The 19,910-nt window shown below is 39.4% G+C and overlaps 1 protein-coding gene across 14 annotated transcripts in view; it reads left to right on the top strand.

The window, feature by feature from the left end:
* Window positions 1-19,910, top strand: part of ZNF484 (zinc finger protein 484) — a 33,857-nt gene that overhangs the window by 3,644 nt on the left and 10,303 nt on the right. For 9 of the 14 annotated variants that reach the window (NM_001007101.4, XM_006717299.4, NM_031486.4 and 6 more), the window contains 2 exons: window positions 18,077-18,203; window positions 18,492-18,584. In NM_001007101.4, coding sequence (NP_001007102.1) covers window positions 18,170-18,203; window positions 18,492-18,584 — 127 coding nt within the window. In that variant the 5' untranslated portion in view covers window positions 18,077-18,169. Of the gene's footprint in view, window positions 1-1,627; window positions 1,709-12,229; window positions 12,256-18,076; window positions 18,204-18,491; window positions 18,585-19,910 lie in introns of all 14 variants that reach the window. The other 5 variants (NM_001261460.3, XM_017015178.2, NM_001261459.3 and 2 more) reach the window with 2 other exon arrangements.

Below are 19,910 nucleotides of genomic sequence, written 5' to 3'. Positions count from 1 at the left end.
GGTTGCAGTAAGCCGAGATTGCGCCTTTGCACTCCAGCCTGGGCAACAAGAGCGAAACTCTGTCTCAAAAAAAAAAAAAAAAAAGAAAGAAAGAAAGAACGTGCACTAACAGTTTTTCTGTTGCTGTCTTATAGAACAGTGCTTCTGACACTTTACTTGCATTTGAATTCAGATTCTGATTTAGTAGCTATGGGATGGGATATGAGAATTTTTATTTCTCACAAATTTCCACAGAACATCAATGCTCCTTGTCCAAGGACCACCTTCTGAAACAACCTTGAGGTTTTATCGTGAATGGGAGTTGAATTTTGTTAAATGCTATTTCTGTACCAATTGACATGATCATGTGATTTTACTTCTTGAGTCTGTTGGTATGGTAGATTACATTGATTGATTTTTTAATATTGAACCAGCGTTGCATCCATGGAATAAACTCCACTTGGTTGTGGTATATACTTTTTAAATTATTTGTATTTGCTAATATTTTGTTAAGGGTTTTTGTATCATATTTATGAAGGATATCGCTTTTTTTTTTCTTTCTGTCTCTCTTTCTGTTTTTTCTTTTGGTACTATTTCTGGTTTAGGTATCACGATAACCCTGACCTCATAAAATAAGTTGGAATGTGTTCCTTTGTATTGATTATTCTGCCAGAGATTGTGTATAGTTTGTGTTTTCTTTTTCTATACTTTGTCCAGTTTTTGTGTCAGGGAAATCATAGCCTCACACAATAAACTGGGAAGTATGCCCTTCTCTTCTGTTTTCTGGAAAAAACTGTGTAGAATTTATGTTAATTATGTTAATTCTTCAAATATTTGGTAGAATTCTCCAGAGAAACTGTCTGGGCCTAGAGATTTCTTTTTTGGAAGTTTTAAGATTACAAACTCAGTTTCTTTAAGTGTTACAGGGCTATTCACATTGTCTATTTAATATTGAGAGGGTTGTGGTAGTTTGTGTGTTTTTCAGGAACTGGTCCCTTTCATCTAAGTTGTCAAATTTATGTGTGCAGAGCTGTTAGTAGTTGTCTTAGTCAGCTCAGGCTGCCATAACAAAGTACCATAGACTGGGTGGAATAAACAACAAAAATTTATTTTCTCACAGTTCTGGGAGGCTGGAACTGAGAGATCAGGGTGCAAGTATGGTCAGGTTCTGATGAGGGTTCTCTTCTTGGCTTGTAGACGAAAACCAGATTCTCACTATGTGCTCACAGGCCATTCCCTAGTGACCGCCTGCCTGCCTGCCTGCCTGCCTATGGAGAGAGAATCTCTCTCTGTAAGGCCACCTGTCTTATCAGATTAGGACCCCTACCTTGTTTAACCGTAATTACCTCTTAAAAGCCCTATCTCCAAATACAGTTACATTAGGGGTTACAGCCTAAACATACGAATTTTTGGAGGACTGAGAATGTCTTGATTTCCACATTCTCCTGAAGGATATTTTTGCCTGATCCAAAATTCTAAGTTGATAGTTCTTTTGTTTTTTTTTTTAGCACTTGAAAAATGTGCTACTTCCTTCTGGCCTCCAAAGTTTCTGATGAGATATTAGTTAAAACTGCATGTTAATTTTCTATTGCTGCTGAAATAAATTCAAAAATTTAGTTGCTTAAAAATAACTTTTTTTTTTTTACAGTTCTATATTTTAGAAGGCCAACATGGGTCTCACTGAACTAAAACCAAGGTGTCAAGAGGGCAGTATTCCTTTCTACAGGCTGTAAGAAAGAATCTGTTTCTATTTTCTATGACTTTTCTAGCTTCTAGTGGGTGCCCACATTTCACAATTTGTAGCCCTTTCCTCCAACTTCAAAGCCATCAACATTGTATCTCTCTGACCACTCTTTTGTAGTCTCATCTTTCTCTGACTCTCTTTTATTGCCTCTCCTTTAACTTTTTTTTTTTTTTTTTTTTTTGAGGCAGAGATTTGCTCTTGTTGCCCAGGCTGGAGTGCAATGGCGCGATCTCGGCTCACCGCAACCTGAAAGAATCTGTTTCTATTTTCTGACTTTTCTAGCTTCTAGTGGGTGCTCACATTTCAGTTTGTGGCCCTTTCCTCCAACTTCAAAGCCATCAACATTGTATCTCTCTGACCACTCTTTTGTAGTCGCATCTTTCTCTGACTCTCTTTTATTGCCTCTGCTTTAACTTTTTTTTTTTTTTTTTTTTTTTTTTGAGGCAGAGATTTGCTCTTGTTGCCCAGGCTGTAGTGCAATGGCGCGATCTTGGCTCACTGCAACCTCCGCCTTCCGGGTTCCAGCGATTCTCCTGCCTCACCTTTCCGAGTAGCTGGTATTACAGGCATGTGCCACCACGCCCTGCTAATTTTGTATGTTTTAGTAGAGACGGGGTTTCTCCATGTTGGTCAGGCTGGTCTCAAACTCCCAACCTCAGGCGATCCGCCCGCATTGGCCCTCCCAAAGTATTGGGATTACAGGCATGAGCCACCGCGCCTGGCCCTCCTGCTTTAACTTTTAAGCAAATTTGTGATTATATTCAGCCCACCCAGATAATCTAAGATAATTAATCTTCCTATTTTAAGGACAGCCGATTTAGCCACCTAGATTTGATCTGAAACCTGAATTCCCTTTTGCCATGCAACCTAACATATTCACAATTTCTGGGAATTAGGATGTGAACATCTTTGGGGAGCCATGGTTCTTAGTATCTCACATTGTCATTCAAATTGTTTTTCTCCTGTGGGTAATGTGTAGTTTCTCTCTGAATGCTTTCAGCATTCTTTCTTTGTCTGTATTTTTCACAAGTTTCACTATAATTCTTCCTTAGTGTGAATTTCTTTGGTTTTATCCTTTTTGAGATTTGCCCAGCTTCTATCTGTAAGTGTATATCTTTCGGGAAGTTTCAGAAATTTTCATTCATTATTTCTTCAAATACTTGTTCAGCCCCCATCCCTTTCTCTTCTTTTTCTCTTTCTGGAACTCCAATGACACAAATGTTAGATTTTTTGTTATTGTCCCACATGTCTCTGAGGTTCTGTTCCTTTTTTTCTCAGTCTGTTTTCTCTCCATTCTTTAGATTAGATCATTTCTACTTTATTTTCAGGTACTCAGAATATTTCTTCTGTTGCCTCCATTCTTTTGAGCCCATCTATTGAGTTTTTAATATTGGTTATTTTTTAATTCTAAAATTTTCATTTGGTTTTTTCATCTCTTCTCTATTTCTTTGTTGAAGTTTTTTTGTTTCAAGTGTGTTCATATGCTTGTTAAAACATTTTTATGAGGACTACTTTAAAATCCTTATGAAATAATTCTGATAACATACATCACTTCAGTTTTAGTATCGGTTGATTGGTTGTTTCCTTATTCAAGTTGAGATTTTCCTGGTTCTTGGTTTTACAAATGATTTTGTAATGTATTGTGGAAACCTTGGGCATTATGAGACTCTAGATCTTATTTGAGTCCTCTTTTTTAGCAGGCGTCCTCTGGGCCAGTGTGGGAATTGGGGGGCCTTGCTGTACTACTGCCAGGTGGATGTGAATTTGCAGGTTCCCTACTTGAACTCTGTTGACAGTCTGTGGGGAGAGAGACACCTCATTACTGCTAGTTGGGGTTGGCAGTTCAGGCTCCCCAGTAGACCTCTGGTGACATCACCTTGTCTGAAAGGAGAGGGTACCTTGTTTCTGCTCTTCATGCTGTCTTCTCTGATATTGTTAGGTTGGATAGGGCCTCATTACCTCTCAGAGTGATGAAGGTCTTGGGTTTTCATTTGACATCCTCTCACACCACACCTGTCGTGATGGGAAGAGTGTCGCATTACTGCTAGGTAGGAATGGAAGTCCAGCCCTGAGGTGGCTCCCACTGGCATGGCAAGAAAGCTACCCATTACCACTGTGCAGAGATGAAAGTCCCAGCTCCCCAGTTGGCTTTTCTCATACTACCCTATTGCAGTGGAGGGGCATCCCCAGGCAGCCAGGCAAATACAGGAGTCTAGGCTACCCACTGAGTCTTTGCTGATGAGAGATGAATCAAGCCCACAGTTTTTTGTTGTTTTATAATCTGTGGTATTTGGTTGGAGTAGGTTTTGTCTAAAAGTTTTTTATTTTTCTCTGTTGCCCCTTTCCTGGTCTTTTAGCTAGAGAAAACACTTTTTTCCAGGCCTTTTTGTATGCACTTGTTGATGTTTCTGGATTGTAGGTTTTTCGAACACCTGGTCAGAGCTATCTATATGAGGCCGAAAGACACAGAGAGCTTATTACTGTTTACTTCCCTGGTTCCTGAGGCCCCTAGCCAGGGTGCCTATTTTTCTTTACCTTTCAGAGTCTGTATGTTGGTTTGATGGATAATGTCTATGGTTTGTAGATGAACTTAACAGGATGAATAGAGACAAGTGCATCTACTGTATCTTTCCAGGAGTGGAATCCAGTTTATTGAGTTTGAACAGAGGACTTCATATATTAAGCATAGTCTTATACGTTTTGGTCAGTTATAACTGCCTCTTTGTCCTTTGCATTTGAACTTTTAAAAATAAGTATTTCATTTTGAATGTCATGAAAGTTTTACCTATATTTACTTAGTCAAATTGTTCTTTGTGGTTTCTTAGAATAAAACAGTTGTCATCTGCTCTATTCCTCTTCAAATTTCAGCTTCTCAAAGGTAATCACTTTGAACTCAGTTTAGTTATCTTTTGCTGTTTACTTTCATATGTCTAAATAACATGTTTGTATTGGTATTTCTAGGCTTTCAGTTTTAAGCAGTTATCTACAGACAACACAATGGAAAGAAGGAATTAGCTCTCTTTCAGACACTCAGGCCCTTGACACTCACGTACACATTTCTCATGTACCCTCCATCTAATATGGGTATTTTGTTTATTTATTTATTTATTTAGTAGAGATGGGGTTTCACCATGTTGCCCAGGCTGATCTTTGAACTCCTGGGCTCAAGCGATCTGCCCACCTTAGCCTCCCAAAGTGCTGGAATTATAGGCGTGAGCCACTGCGCCCAGCCTAATATGGGTATATCATAATTTGGGGTAAATCAATAGGCTGCATTTTATTATGATGATTATTTTAACAATATTCACAAGTGAGCCATTTACTTTTTATGCAGTGCTTTTTGTTTTACCTGAAATTATAAGTGTCTGGCTTAATCATTTGTTTTGTTTTCCATACATACATGTACAATATATATTATACATATCAGTAATTCATCGCTAGTCTTCCCAGGTATATAAATACCTTCTCAATATATTAAAATATACTAAATAATAACAGTAATATAATATAAACATTAATATAGTGCTTACTATATACCAGGCACTATAAGCATTCTCTATTAACTAATTCAGTCACAACCCCTACGAGTTATTGCTATGGTTTGGATATTTATCCTCTCCAAATCTCATGCTGAAATTTGATCCCCCAACCCAGGCGCGGTGGCTTGTGTGTAATCCCAGCTATTCAGGAAGCCAAGGTAGGAGGATCACTTGAGGCCAGGAATTTGAGATCAGCCTAGGTAATATGGCGAGACCCTGTTTCTTACAAAAATAAATAAATAAAAAGAAATTTTAAAAATAAAAGAGAAGTTTGATCCCAGTGTAGGAGGTGGTAGGGCATAATGGGAAGTGTTTGGGTCATGGGGACAGATCCCTCATGAATAGATTAATGCCCTCTCTGGGGAGGTGGTGAGTTCTCAATCTTATGAGTTCCGTGAGAGTTGGTTGTTGAGAAGAGCTTGCTACCTCCCATTCGCTCTCTCTTTCTTCCTCTTTTGCCATATGATCTCTGCACACACCGGCTTCTCTTCCCCTTCTGCCATGAATGGAAGCAGCTTGAAGGCCCTCCCCAGATGCAGATGCTGATGCCATGCTTCTTGTACAGCCTGCAGAACCATGGGCCAAATAAATGTCTTTTCTTTATAAATTACCCAGGCTCAGGTGTTCTTTTATAGTAACAGTAAACAAAGACAGCTATCTATAATCATTATTCTCATTTTACAGAGGAGGAAAACTGTTACACAGAGAAGGAATTTGCCCAAGATCATACAGCTCCTGAATGATGAAGCCAGGAAAATAAGACCCAGGCCGTTGGCTCTAGATTACATGCTATTCATTTCAGCTCTTTAAAGAAACTCCTCTTGGAGTTGTCGACCTGCTCATAGTTACTCTCTATCCGATACTCAGCTACTGGCATGGGCTGTCCCTTCCACATGATACTAGGAATTGTCCTCATGTTTCTCAAATGTTAGATCTCTTGAGTCTCAAGAAGCTGGGTAAGACATAGAAATGGATTGTCCTGTAGAGTCTCCAGAAGGAGTGCAGCCCAGCAGGACCTATTTTGGACATATGACCTCCAGAATAGTGACAAGTTTGTGTTGTTTTAAGGCCAAAGAATACAGGTGGCCTCTAGAAGCTAGAAAAATCAAGGAAATTGATATTCCTTTAGAACCTCCAGAAGGAATACAGCCCTATTGACACTCAGATACAAGCCCAAGTAAAATTATTTAGGCGTCTCTAAGACTACCCTCACTTATGACAGAAACTGCAAGCTCAGGAGTCTCCAAGACCACCCTCAGTTTCAATAATTCACGAGAAGGACTTACACAACTCAGGAAAGCCATTATACTCATGCTTATAGTTCATTACAGAAAGAGGACGTGGATTAAAATCAGCCAGAGAAGATGTGCTCAGTGCAGTATCATGGAAAGTTTCAGGTTACTGAGTTTCTCATTAATATTGTATTTTTAATTTTAAGGACTCTTTTCTTCACTTCTGAATGATCTTTCTAATATTCATGGGTGCAATATTTTCTTTTTTTAAAATTTTACTTTAAGTTCCAGGATACATGTGCAGAATGTGCAGGTTTGTTACATAGGTATATGCGTGCCATGGTGGTTTGCTGCATCTATCAACCTGTCATCTAGGTTTGTTTTTTTGTTGTTGTTGTTTTGTTTTGCTTTGTTTTTTGAGATGGAGTTTCGCTCTTGTTGCCCAGGCTGGAGTGCAATGGCGCAATCTCAGCTCACCACAACCTCCGCCTCCCGGGTTCAAGGGATTCTTCTGCCTCAGCCTCCCAAGTAGCTGGGACTACAGGCGCCTGCCACCAGGCCTGGCTAATTTTCTTTAAATTTTTTTAGTAGAGACGGGGTTTCACTGTGTTAGCCAGGAGGTTCTCGATCTCCTGACCTCGTGATCCACCCGCCTCAGCCTCCCAAAGTGATGAGATTACAGGCTTGAGCCACTGTGCCCGGCTAATTTTGTATTTCTAGTAGAGACAGGGTTTCTCCAGTCAGGCTGGTCTCGAACTCCCGACCTCAGGTGATCCACCCACCTTGGCCTCCCAAAGTGCTGGGATTACAGGTGTGAGCCACCATGCCCGGCCCCCATCATCTAGGTTTTAAGCCTGCATGCATTTGCTATTTGTCCTAATGCTCTCTCTCCCCTTATCCCCCCACCCCTTGATAGGCCCTGGTGTGGCTTGTTCCCTGCCCTGTGTCTGTGTGTTCTCATTGTTCAACTCCCACTTATGAGTGAGAACATGCAGTGTTCGGATTTCTGTTCCTGTGTTAGTTTGCTGAGAATGATGGTTTCCAGCTTCATCCATGTCCCTGCAAAGGATGTGATCTGATTCCTTTTTATGGCTGCATACTATTCCATGTTGTACATGTACCACATTTTCTTTATCTAGTCTATCATTGCTGGGCATTTGGGTTGGTTCTGTGTCTTTGCTATTGTAAATAGTGCTGCAGTAAACATACGTGTGCATGTGTCTTTATAGTAGAATGATTTATATTCCTTTGGGTATATACCCAGTAATGGGATGGCTGGGTCAACTGGTATTTCTGGTTCTAGATCCTTGAGGAATTGCCACACTGTCTTCCACAATGGTTGAACTAATTTACATTCCCACCAACAGTGTAAAGGTGTTCCTATTTCTCCACAGCCTCGCCAGCATCTATTGTTTCTTGACTTTTTAATAATAGCCATTCTGACTGGCATGAGATGGTATCTCATTGTGGTTTTGATTTGTATTTCTCTAATGATCAGTGATGTTGAGCTTTTTTTCGTATGATTGTTGGCCACATAAATGTCTTCTTTTGAGAAGTGTCTGTTCATATCCTTCACCCACTTTTTGATGGGGTTGTTTTTTTCTTGTAAATGTGTTTTTAAGTTCCCTGTAGAATCTGGATATTAGACCTTTGTCAGATGAGTATTTTGAATAGGTAATACATGCATATGATTTAAAAGTAAGAAAATAAGTACATAGTGAAAAATCTCCCTCTTTCTTTTCCTATCAGCCCATGTCCTCAATCTGGATAACTAATTTTTTTTAGTGTGTGTTCAAAGTGTCATTATATAGACAAAAACAAATAGGAAAAGTATTATGTTCTTTCCACAGAAGATGGTATACCATATGCATTTCTGTACCATTATGATTTTATTTTCATTTATTTTTAAGCCTTTACTATGGAGAAATATAAAATGCATTACGAAATATGCTCTTGTGAACATTTCTTTCAGAAGTTATTTCTATCCAAAGGCAAGGTCTTGCTCTGTCACCCAAGCTGAGTGGAGTGCAATGCTGTGATCCCAGCTCACTACAGCCTCAACTTTCAGGGCTCAAGTGATCCTGCTTCCCCTGCCTCCCAAGTAGCTGGGACTATAGACGCATGCCACCATGCCTGGCTAATTTTTTTTTTCTTTTTGTAGAGACGGCGTCTTGCTATGTTGCGCAGGCTAGTCTTGAACTCCTGCTCTCAAGCAATCCTCCTGCCTCGGCCTCCTAAAGTGCTAGGATTACAGGCCTGAGCCACTGCACCTGGCCCCTCTCCAACTTTAGTATATGATGTCATACAGCTTTGCAAAGTTTGTTACGCCAATTTGTATTCCTACCAGTAGTGTGCAGATATGTTTACTACTTTGTATCTTTACCAGTACTTGGTGTTTTCAATCTTTACAATTTTAGCCATCTTGGGAGTTTGCAGAGGTATCTCATTTTGGATTTAATTAGCATTTCCCTGGTTACTAATGTGATTGAACAGTTTTTCAGAATTTCATTGTCATGTACACTTCTTTTGAGAATTGCTTGATTCATTCCTCCCCCTTTTTTTTAAACTGAGTTGTCTGTAGTTTGTATTGCTTTTTGTTGTTGTTGTTTTTGTTTTGATTTTTTATAGAGACAAGTTCTCACTATGTTGCCCAGGCTGGTCTCAAACTCGTGGACTCAAGCAATCCTCCTGCCTTGGCCTCCCAAAGTACTGGGATTACAGGCATGTGCCACTGCACCCAGCCTGTTGTTACATTTATGTTCTTTTTACATTTTGTGTACTATCACACTGTCATTCATGTATGGTCCCCTAATATAATGATGAATATACTCTTTCTCTCTCGTTCTCTCTCTCTCTCTTTCTCTCTCTCTCTGTGTGTGTGTGTGTGATTTCTGTCTACATCACAAACAGCTTATTTGTGTTGTTCAGATCTTCTGTATAATCCTTATTTTTTGACTATTGCATATTTGTTTTATGTGTGAGATCTCATCTCCTTTGTAACTGGCTTGTCAATTTTCTTGCAGAAATTTTCCTATATGTGCCAAATTTTTGTTGCTATATCTAGTGATTAATGAATGTAATCTGGTTAAAATCTCTCAGAGTAGGGAGGGGGAGTTGGGAAGTCTCCCATGCGTGTGTAGGTTTATCAATTTCTCCATGTAATTTTGTCAACTTTTGTTTTATGTATTTTAGATTGTCATTCAAAATATGAATTATATTTTCCTGAAGTACTGATCTTTTTGCTATTACGTGGTACTGAATTTTTTGCTTAAAAGCTTAAGAGTCTGTAATTGCAACCCAGTTTCTATCTATTTTATTAGAATTGTCTGGCAAAATGCATTTTAGTATAACAGAAATCTAAGAATTACGGGCTTAAACACAAAAGAAGCAAAAGAAGTCTGAAAGTATTCATTCAGGGCCTGATGTCTTCACAAATTTATACACCTTTTTTTTTTGTTGTTGTTCTCTATGTCATTCTCATTTTGTGATTTTCAACCTCACGTCACTTGATAGTTCCCGAGATTTGCTGGGGTTGCATTAACTGAGTCAGCGTTCCAGGCCAGCAGCATGGTGAGGTTGGGGAGGAAAGGGGCACTCACACCTTCTCCTTTAAAAACTGACATCTCAGAAGTATCGCCTGTATCTCTGTGGCCAAAGTATAGTTTCCTGGTTACATTTAAGGTGGGCTGGGAAAAGAAAGTCTTACTCAGAGTAGCCAGCTAAGAATTCATGTTCTGTTATTAGGGAAGAAAGGATGAGTGAATGTTGGAAGACAACTAGCTATCACTGTCACATCTCCTAAATACAAAAGCCAGAATTTATCTGTCTTTTGCTTTTTTCATCCATCTTGGCATTCAACCCCATCAACTAATCCCCACATACATTCTAAGACGTTACTCTCTCCTGGCTCTGTCCGATTTCTCAGTTTTTATTGCTGACACCTCTTCTTCAATGCTGGTAACTTTTTCAGATTCTTTCCTTTACATTCTCCTTTATCAGGTGTCCTCTCAAGCAGTCTCATTTACTCAGATGATTTTAGTTATTAATTATCTACTGGTGACTCCCAAATCTTTATCTCCACTCTAGGCCTCTGCCTAACGTCCTATAATATGCCTGCCTACATGTTTAATCCCTGTAATCTCAATATGTGCAAAACATAAGTGATTTCATCTGGTTCCCTTTCTCCAACCTTTTCCATTCATCAATCTCTACTTCAGTATATGACACTATAATCTCAGAGTATACAAAACGAATAATTGAGAATTTCACTTTAGTTCCTCCTTTTTCTTACTCCATCTATCAATTCTAATTACCTACTATCTACACCAATTTCTTTTTCTATATTCCTGTTAAATAATATTTTCTCCCTAACTAAGGTGTTTTAATTCTTTCACATGAAATATTGCCTAGACTTCCACTCTTGCTCATTCAAATGTATTCTCCCTGCTGTTTCTTGATAGTCTTTTTTTATTTTTTATTTTAAGTTCTAGGGTACATGTGCAGGATGTGCAGGTTTGTTGCATAGGTAAATGTGTGTCATGATGGTTTGCTGCACCTATCAAGCCATCACCTAGGTATTAAGCCCAGCATGCATTAGCTTTTTTCCCTAATGCTCTCCCACCCCCCACCCTTCCCCAACAGGCCCCAGTGAGTGTTGTTCCCTTCCCTGTGTCCATGTGTTCACATTGTTCAGCTCCCACTTATAAGTAAGAACATGTAGCGTTTGGTTTTCTGTTCCTGCATTAGTTTGCTGAGGATAATGGCTTCCAGCTCCCTGCATGTCCCTGCAAAGGATATGATCTCATTCCTTTTTATGGCTGCATAGTATTCCATGATGTATATGTGCCACATTTTCTTTAGCCAGTCTATCACTGATGGGCATTTGGGTTGATTCCATGTCTTTGCTATTGTGAATAGTGCCACAATGAACATATGCATGCGTGTATCTTTATAACAGAATGATTTATATTCCTTTGGGTATATAACCAGTAATGGGATTGCTGGGTCAAATGGTATTTCCACTTCTAAATCTTTGAGGAATCACCACACTGTCTTCCACAATGGTTGAACAAATTTACATTCCCACTAACAGTGTAAAAGCGTTCCTATTTCTCCACAACCTGGCCAGCATCTTCTTGGCAGTTGTAAACATAAATCTAATAATCTTTTCTCTATATATAAATTACTTTAATGGCAGTCCATTATGTATTGGAGGAAAAATAGTTGCATGATCTCATGCCAGCATACCTCTACTGAAATTTCCTCATAAACACCTTTCCTTCACTGCATACAGACTTCTCATTATGCAGACTAATTTGTGGTTCCCTGAATTTATCATGTATTTTCCTGTCTTTATACCTTTGCTCATGCTGCTCCCTTCTAAAAATCACTTTGCCCTACTCTGCTTGCATTAAACATGGCATCTCCCAAGACTAAGCTTAAGTTTCATCAACTCTACAGAACTTAGTCTTACACTCCATGTAGAATTTTCTTCTCTCTATTTGGGGTCATGCTATGCTTTGCACATCTCTTATGCCCTTTATAATATCTTAGAAAGTTGTTGTAAGTTCTTTGATGTCTTGAAGCATATTGTGTAAAGTTGTGAAGATGTTCACAACATAAAGTTCTCAACATCTTGCTTAGTAAATATATGGCAGGTAATTCCTAAGAATTACCTAAGTAATTATGCTTAATAAATGTATGGCAGTTAATTCTTTTTTTATTTTTTTTTTCAGACTTCTTTCTCAACTACCAATGGCAGGTAATTCCTCAGAATTAAGTTTAAGAGAATTTAAACAGAGCCTATTTTATTTTCACTGGATATTGAATTCAATATTGACAGCTCTTTCTCTTCAGCACTTGAAAAATATGGTCCCACTTCCTTTTGACATCTGTGGTTTTTAATGAGAAAGTCATTCTTGTTCAAATTGCCCTTTCCCTACATGTAATGTGTCATTTCTCTCTGACTGTTTTCAGGTTCTATTCTTAAATTTGGATTTTATAAATCTTACAATGTATCTAGACATGGATTTATTTGAGGTTTTCCTTTTGGAGATTTGGTCAGCGACTTGAATCTGTACATTTATGCCTTTTACCAGATTTGGGAGGTTTTCAGCTATTATTTCTTCATATCTTTTTCCAGTCTCCCGTCCTACTTTTTCATTCCTTCTAGGACTGCTGAAATGATTGTTGGCTGTTCTGTTATTGTCCCGCTGGGTCCCTTAGGCTGAATACAGCCTGAGGGAATTGATGAAACAATCATTTCATCAATTATTTTTTCTATTGTTCAGACTGGATAATTTCTGTTTATCTATCTTACAGGTAACTGAGGTAACTGATTCTTTCCTTTGGATCTCCATTCTGCTGTTGAGATCATCCAGTGAGGTTTTTAATTTCACTTACTGTATTTTTTGGTTCTAAAATTTTCATTTTGTTCCTCCTCATACCTTCTATTTCTTTGCTGAGAATTTATATATTTCCACTTGATTCAACACTATTTACAGCTGCTTGTTGCAACACTTTTAGTTAGCTACTTTAAATCCTTGTCAAATAATTCCAACATCTGATTCATCTGAGTGTTGCTATCTGTTGATGCTCTTTTCTCATTTGATTTCAGATTTTCTTGGTTCTTAAGATGATGAATAATTTTGGCTTTATTCAGGACATTCTGAATATCATGTTATGAGATTCTGTTTTCTCTTCAAATCCTCTATTTTAGCAGTTGTCAACACATTTAGGTTTAGAGTGCATGTCTTGGTCTATTTTTATGGGCTGTATTTCAAATTCAACTTAGTTTTGAAAGTCTTTGCAGTTCTATTTTGGTCTCCCTCATTTTTGTGCTACCCAGAAGCTAATTTGAAACCTGGACAGTATCCCACACCCTAGTTCAGCCCTGAAAGCTTTTTCTATGTTGATTCTGATTCATTTTATATCTGGGCTGCTCGTAGGTGTGCCCAGGTCATCATACATGTATTTAAAGAACCCCTTTTTATAACTTTCTCCATAATCCATCCTCCACTCTCTATTGGAAGAAGGTAGCTACTTCTTCTTTGCTGTCATTCACTTAATTTGGGGTAGGGTTAGCCAATACAGTCTATATAATGCCTGCTGGAGAGGCAAGAGGGGTGCTACCTCTCTTTGAGCTAATGCAGTTGGGATGATTGAGAGAGCTCCACCCCACCATCTTTGGAGTCACATTGTTTGTGAAGAAGGCAAAGGATGCATCTTTTGTAGTTTTCACCTCAAGTATACTGGTTTTTTTTTGTTTGTTTTGTTTTGTTGTTTTTTTTTTTTTTTTGAGATGGAGTCTCGCTCTGTCGCCCAGGCTGGAGTGCACTGGTGTGATCTCAGCTCACTGCAAGCTCCGCCTCCCGGGTTCACGCCATTCTCCTGCCTCAGCCTCTCAAGTAGCTGGGACTACAGGCGCCCGCCACCATGCCCGGCTAATTTTTTGTATTTTTTTAGTAGAGATGGGGTTTCACCATGTTAGCCAGGATGGTCTCGATCTCCTGACCTCGTGATCCACCTGCCTCGGCCTCCCAAAGTGCTGGGATTACAGGCGTGAGCCACCGCGCCTGGCCTCAAGTATATTGTTGTGCAGTAAAGGATTAACTTTGCCCAAAGAGAGGTTTGGCCTTTGCACTCAGCTCCTGGGAGGTAACCTCTAAATCTTTGGAATGTCCTGCAGGCCTTGCTTAGGCCATGCAAGATAGTATATAATGACAGTGTGATTTATGGTGGGAGCTTTGGGCCACACTGAATATTCTATGCCAACATGTGGTTTATAGTGGGGTACCTTTGGCCATGCAATATCAGCTCTGGAGGGGCTGGAGACTAAGATCAGCCACAGTGGGAGTCATTCATGTCCACATGATCAAGTCTCAGTAAAAACTCTGGACATCAAGGCTCAAGTGAACTTCCCCAGTTGGCAATACTCCATGCGTATTATCATCACACATCATTGCTGGGAGAAGTAAGTGCTGTCCATATGACTCCACTGGGAGAAAACCACTGGAAGCTCACACCTGGAACTCTCATTGACACTGCACTAAGCACATCTTCCCTTGGCTGATTTTGATCTGTATCCTTTCATTGTAAAGCCACTATATAACACCATAGCCATGAGTATTATGGCTTTTCTAATTTCTGTGAGTTCTTCTGTGAATTGTGGAACCTGAGGGTGGTCCTGGGGACCCCTGACTTGGAATTGGTGTCAGAAGTACAGGTGATCCTGGGAAATCCCTCTGCTTGCAGTAGGTGTCAGAAGTGAGGGTGTTCTTGGGTACTTCTGAACTTTGTAGGTATGTGTAGTCAAAAGGTCCCATCCTGCATTGCTGCCCTATTTCAAATTATTTGGCTGGAAAATGTATGCTTTGGGGAGGCCTTTTTTGTCTGTGCTCATTGGTTCTTCCAGGTTGCAAGCTCCTCTAGTACTCATTTTGCAATATGTAGGAGCTCCCTCTCTCCCTCTAAGTTCCCTCTAGGGAACTAACTCACTACTGTGTTGTTTTTTAAGTCCTTAGGTTCTACTTTCTTTTCTCCACCAGTGAGTCTTCTGACAGATGCTTTATGTATTTTTCTAGATTTTTAGGTAATTAGCAGGAGGAATTGGGTGGAATGCACTCTTTTTTTTGTTTTGTTTTTTAGAACCAGAAGTCTCAATCCTTGCTTTTAACTTGGATGTTTAATGCATTTACACTTAATGTAATTACTGATATACTTGAATTTATATATACCACCTTACTATTAGTTTTTATTTTATTTTATTTTATTTTTGAGATGGAGTCTTGCTCTGTTGCCCAGGCTGGTGTGCAGTGGTGCAGTCTTGGCTCACTGCAACCTCCACCTCCTGGGTTCACACCATTCTCCTGCCTCAGCCTCCTGAGTAGCTGGGACTACAGGTGCCCACCACCACACCCAGCTAATTTTTTTATATTTTTAGTAGAGACCGGGTTTCACCGTGTTAGCCAGGATGGTCTCGATCTCCTGACCTCATGATCCGCCTGCCTCAGCCTCCCAAAGTGCTGGGATTACAGGTGTGAGCCACCACGCCCGGCCTAGTTTTTATTTGAACTACCTATTTTTTCATTCCTTTCTTGACTTTTTATATTACATAATTTTTTTACTCTTTAATTTTTTCCTTTGTTTACTTGTTATAATTCTTTTACTGTTTGTTACCCCAGATATTAAAACATTCATCTTGAACTTACTATTTTATCTCCTTAATAATGCTAGGATACTTTATAAAACACTTTAATTCTATTTACTGCCTCCCATTTTTGCATTATTATTTCCATTATTTTAAATTTTGCATACATTTTAAACCTCCCAGAATAGTACTGTTACTGTTTTGCATAGTCAATACTTGCAGTTTTGTAAAGAGGTATTTGAAGAGCTTCTTGAATCCTAAGGGTTGATGACATTCATAGCCATTACTTCTTCAAATATTGCTTTTTCCCTGCACTCTCCTCTTTAACTTCTCAGACTCTGATAGGTTATACCTTTTTTACTATGTCACACATATTCCTAATGCTCCTATGTTTTTTTCTTTAAAAAAAAAATCTCTGCTTCAGTTTGGATATTTTCTATTTACTTGTCTTCCATTTCAGAAATTCTGTATTTTGCTGTTAAACCTGCATAAGGACTTCTTAATTTTAGATTTTAGATTTTTCAATTTTTGAACTTTCATTTGATTCTTTATTATAAGAACCAACTCTCTAAAGATAGTCCTCTTTTCATCTAACTCCAATTCTCTGTGTGACTGTTTCTATTGAATTTTTTCCTTCTCTGATTTTGGATATGTGGTCCTATCTTTTTGGATGTGTAGGATTTTTTTGTTTGTTTTAAACACTGTGTATAATAAGTTGTAGGCAGGGCTCATACCTGGGAGGCTGAGGGGGACAGATCACTTGAGCTCAGGAGTCCCAGACCAGCCTGGGCAACATGGCAAAACCCATCTCTACAAAAGATAGACAAATTAGCTGGGCATGGTAGCATGTGCCTGTAGTCCCAGCTACTTGTGGGGCTGAGACAGGAGGATTGCTTGAGCCCAGGTCGAGGCTGCAGTGAGTCGTGTTTGTGCCACTGCACTCCAGCCTGGATGACAGAGCAAGACCCTGTCTCAGAAGAAAAGAAAAAAAAAATCTTTCTCCACAGAGGATTCATCTTTCCTTATGTTAGCAAATGGAGGGAAGGGAGAACACGTACATCCAGTCAGGCACTGTTGATGTTGAAATAAGGCCGGGTTGAAGCTCTGCTAAGACTCACTTTACCTCTGGATCACCCTGGCTCCTGAGAATTTTCAGCTGAGAGCCCTTTTGTCCTCTAAAGACCCTCTTCCTGATAGATGCCCAACTATTTTCTTAACAGATACTAGACTTTTGCTCTGTTCTTCAAAGGCTGTTTGCTTACATTTTTAGTCTACTGCCCTATATACCCTAGAATTCAGCAAATATCCTGAGGGGAAAATGGCCATGTGTTTGAGTTATGTTGGTTTCTCTGTCACCCAGCTGCAGCCTTCTACTGCATTCTCCAGTAGACAGGACAAAATGAGAATCCAGGACAAAAGCTGGATTCTCAGCTTTTGTCCACAGCCAGAATTGGTAAATGCTCCCACTGTCAGAGTGACTGAATAAGTCAGCTTCAATCTTTAATATTCTCTCCTCTCCAGTCTTAGCCCCTATATTTCTTGCTACCTCAGCAGCTTTCCAGTGCTTTGAAACAGATGATTTCAAGTATTGCGTCTGGCATTTACAGTTCATTGTTGAAGGAAGCACTGGACTGCCAAGCTACTGCATCTCATCTGGAAATGGCAGTGCTGAAAAAGAGCCCTCTCCTTCATACACCACACAGTTTACCATTTAAAGTGTACCATATTAGGCTGGGTGTCGTGGCTCATGCCTGTAATCCCAGCACTTTGGGAGGCTGAGGCGGGCGGATCACGAGGTCAGGAGATCGAGACCATCCTGGCTAACACGGTGAAACCCCGTCTCTACTAAAAAAATTTTTAAAAATTAGCTGGGCGTGGTGGCGGGCGCCTGTAGTCCCAGCTACTCAGGAGGCTGAGGCAGGAGAATGGCGTGAACCCAGGAGGCAGAGCTTGCGGTGAGTGGAGATCGAGCCACTGCACTCCAGCCTGGGCGACTGAGCGAGACTCTGTCTCAAAAAAAAAGTGTACCATGTATTGATTTTTAGTGTATTCACTCAGTTGTACAGCCATCATTATAATCAATTTTAGACATTTTCTTTATCATCCAGATGGGTGTGAGGTAATATCTTGTAGTTTTAATTTGCATTTCCCTAGTGATTAATGACGTTGAGCATCTTTACATGTGCTTGTTAAATATTTGTATATCTTCCTTGCAGAAATGTCTATTTAAGCTTTTTACCCATTTTTAAAATTATTTTGTTCGTTGTCGTTGAATTGTAGAAGTTCTTTATAGTATATTGTATCACATTAAAAATAAGGTCCTATCTTGTTTCCATTCTGTAATCTCGATCCTTCACATTGAAAGGTTTTTTTTTTTGAATTCAAATATATTCTTTAAAAAATTATTTTAAAGTTTGTTTTTTTTTTTTAACAGGAATCAGTGTCATTCAAGGACGTAACTGTAGACTTCAGTAGGGATGAGTGGCAACAATTAGACCTTGCTCAGAAAAGCCTGTACAGAGAAGTGATGCTGGAAAACTATTTCAACTTGATCTCAGTGGGTAAGCACGGCTCTGCTGGGTATAGAGTAGGCTGCACCTAATTGAGTATATTTTTCTTCTCAGTAGAATTGCTGAAGTCTGTGTTTTCTGAGGTATGTGGGACTTCTAAAGACTGCAGGACATCTAAAGTGTGTAATGGTTTTGTCCTTATTTTGTCCCATGTTCTTAATAATCTCTTTCGGGTAGTGTGAATATTCCTCTGTTCCCAGTGAACTTTTTTGGGAAAAAAATGGAATGCTTCATTGTATGGCCTCTGAAATCAAGTCCTCTATCATCCCCTGTTAACAGGATGTCAAGTTCCCAAACCAGAAGTCATCTTCAGCTTGGAACAAGAAGAGCCATGTATGTTGGATGGTGAGATCCCCAGTCAGAGCCGTCCAGGTGAGAAGGGAACCAAGAGCATGGTAGACAGTATGACTCAGCTGCATTTGTACTGGGAGAAGCTGTGCCCAACTTTGCCCAACTTTGATGTGTCATTAATAATGACTTTTAGAACTGCTTGGAAGAGCAGTTATTAGACAAGGACCCTTGGATAGCTAAATGCTAACCCCACTTAAGATCCCTTCTCATATCAATGCCTTCTTCTTTGCTTGGCTTTTTAGGAGGGAATATGCTACAATTACTGGTTCTTTGGATCATGTCACACTCTACTTTCTAGGGTCCTGTTTTCTTGCTTTTTTCTCTCTTTCCCTAGAAAAGTTTTATTCTTTCTACCTCCATCAAGGTCTTAGATCATTTCCTTATGCATTCAAATACTCATAGATCTACCTTCTGAAAACATTACTATGCATTACAACTTCAGCTCCTGCTGTTTCTTCTCATTTTGTCTCTTTCCCCTTAGTGCCTCACAATTGTCATCTAGAGATGGGCTTGTCTGAAGTCCCCCCATGCCTCTTCTCTGATTGTTGACTTTGAGAGTACCATTGACATTTTCTTCCTACTTGGCTAGTGCAACGCAACACTGACTTGATCTTTCTAATTTATTTATTTTCATATCTTACACAAAGTTTTTTATCTAGTGTACAGGTATATCCTGTACAGAAGATTGAGTTAATAATTATAGCCTTAGTTTTTAGTCAATATCATCATCAATGTGTTTAAGGCTCCCCTCTTATTTATTCTTTTTAATCCTCAGTCTCCATACTCATTTTTATCCTTCCAAGAGGCAACTGTTCTAATATATTTGACATGTTATGCCATTTATCCTTGAATTTCTGGGATATTTATAAAATCTGAGTTGTTGGCATTGTTAATTTGTAGAAATGGTACTGTATTATATATCCTACTCAAGTTTTTTTTTCTCAAATTGGTCCATGTTGCAGTGCATTATTCTAATTTCTACATATCATTCTGTAGTGCACATATATACCCCATTTTACTTGTCCAGTTTTTCAGCTACTACAAACAGTACTGCAATACATTTCTTCATGAATTATTCTTACTGGAAATGATAATTTATTTATTTATTTTTTTCTGAGATGGAGTTTCGCTCTGTCCCCCAGGCTGGAGTGCAGTGGCATGATCTCAGCTCACTGCAAGCTCCACCTCCCAGGTTCACGCCATTCTCCTGCCTCAGCCTCCCCGGTAGCTGGGACTACAGGCGCCCGCCACTGCACCCAGCTAATTTTTTGTATGTTTAGTAGAGACGGGGTTTCACCATGTTAGCCAGGATGGTCTCGATCTCCTGACCTCGTGATCCACCCGCCT

The sequence above is a fragment of the Homo sapiens genome, chromosome 9 (genome assembly GCF_000001405.40).
Source record: "Homo sapiens chromosome 9, GRCh38.p14 Primary Assembly".
NCBI classification, from domain to species: Eukaryota; Metazoa; Chordata; class Mammalia; order Primates; family Hominidae; genus Homo; species Homo sapiens.
Note: the sequence above shows the minus strand (reverse complement) of the source record. Positions and strands in the feature narration are given on the sequence as shown.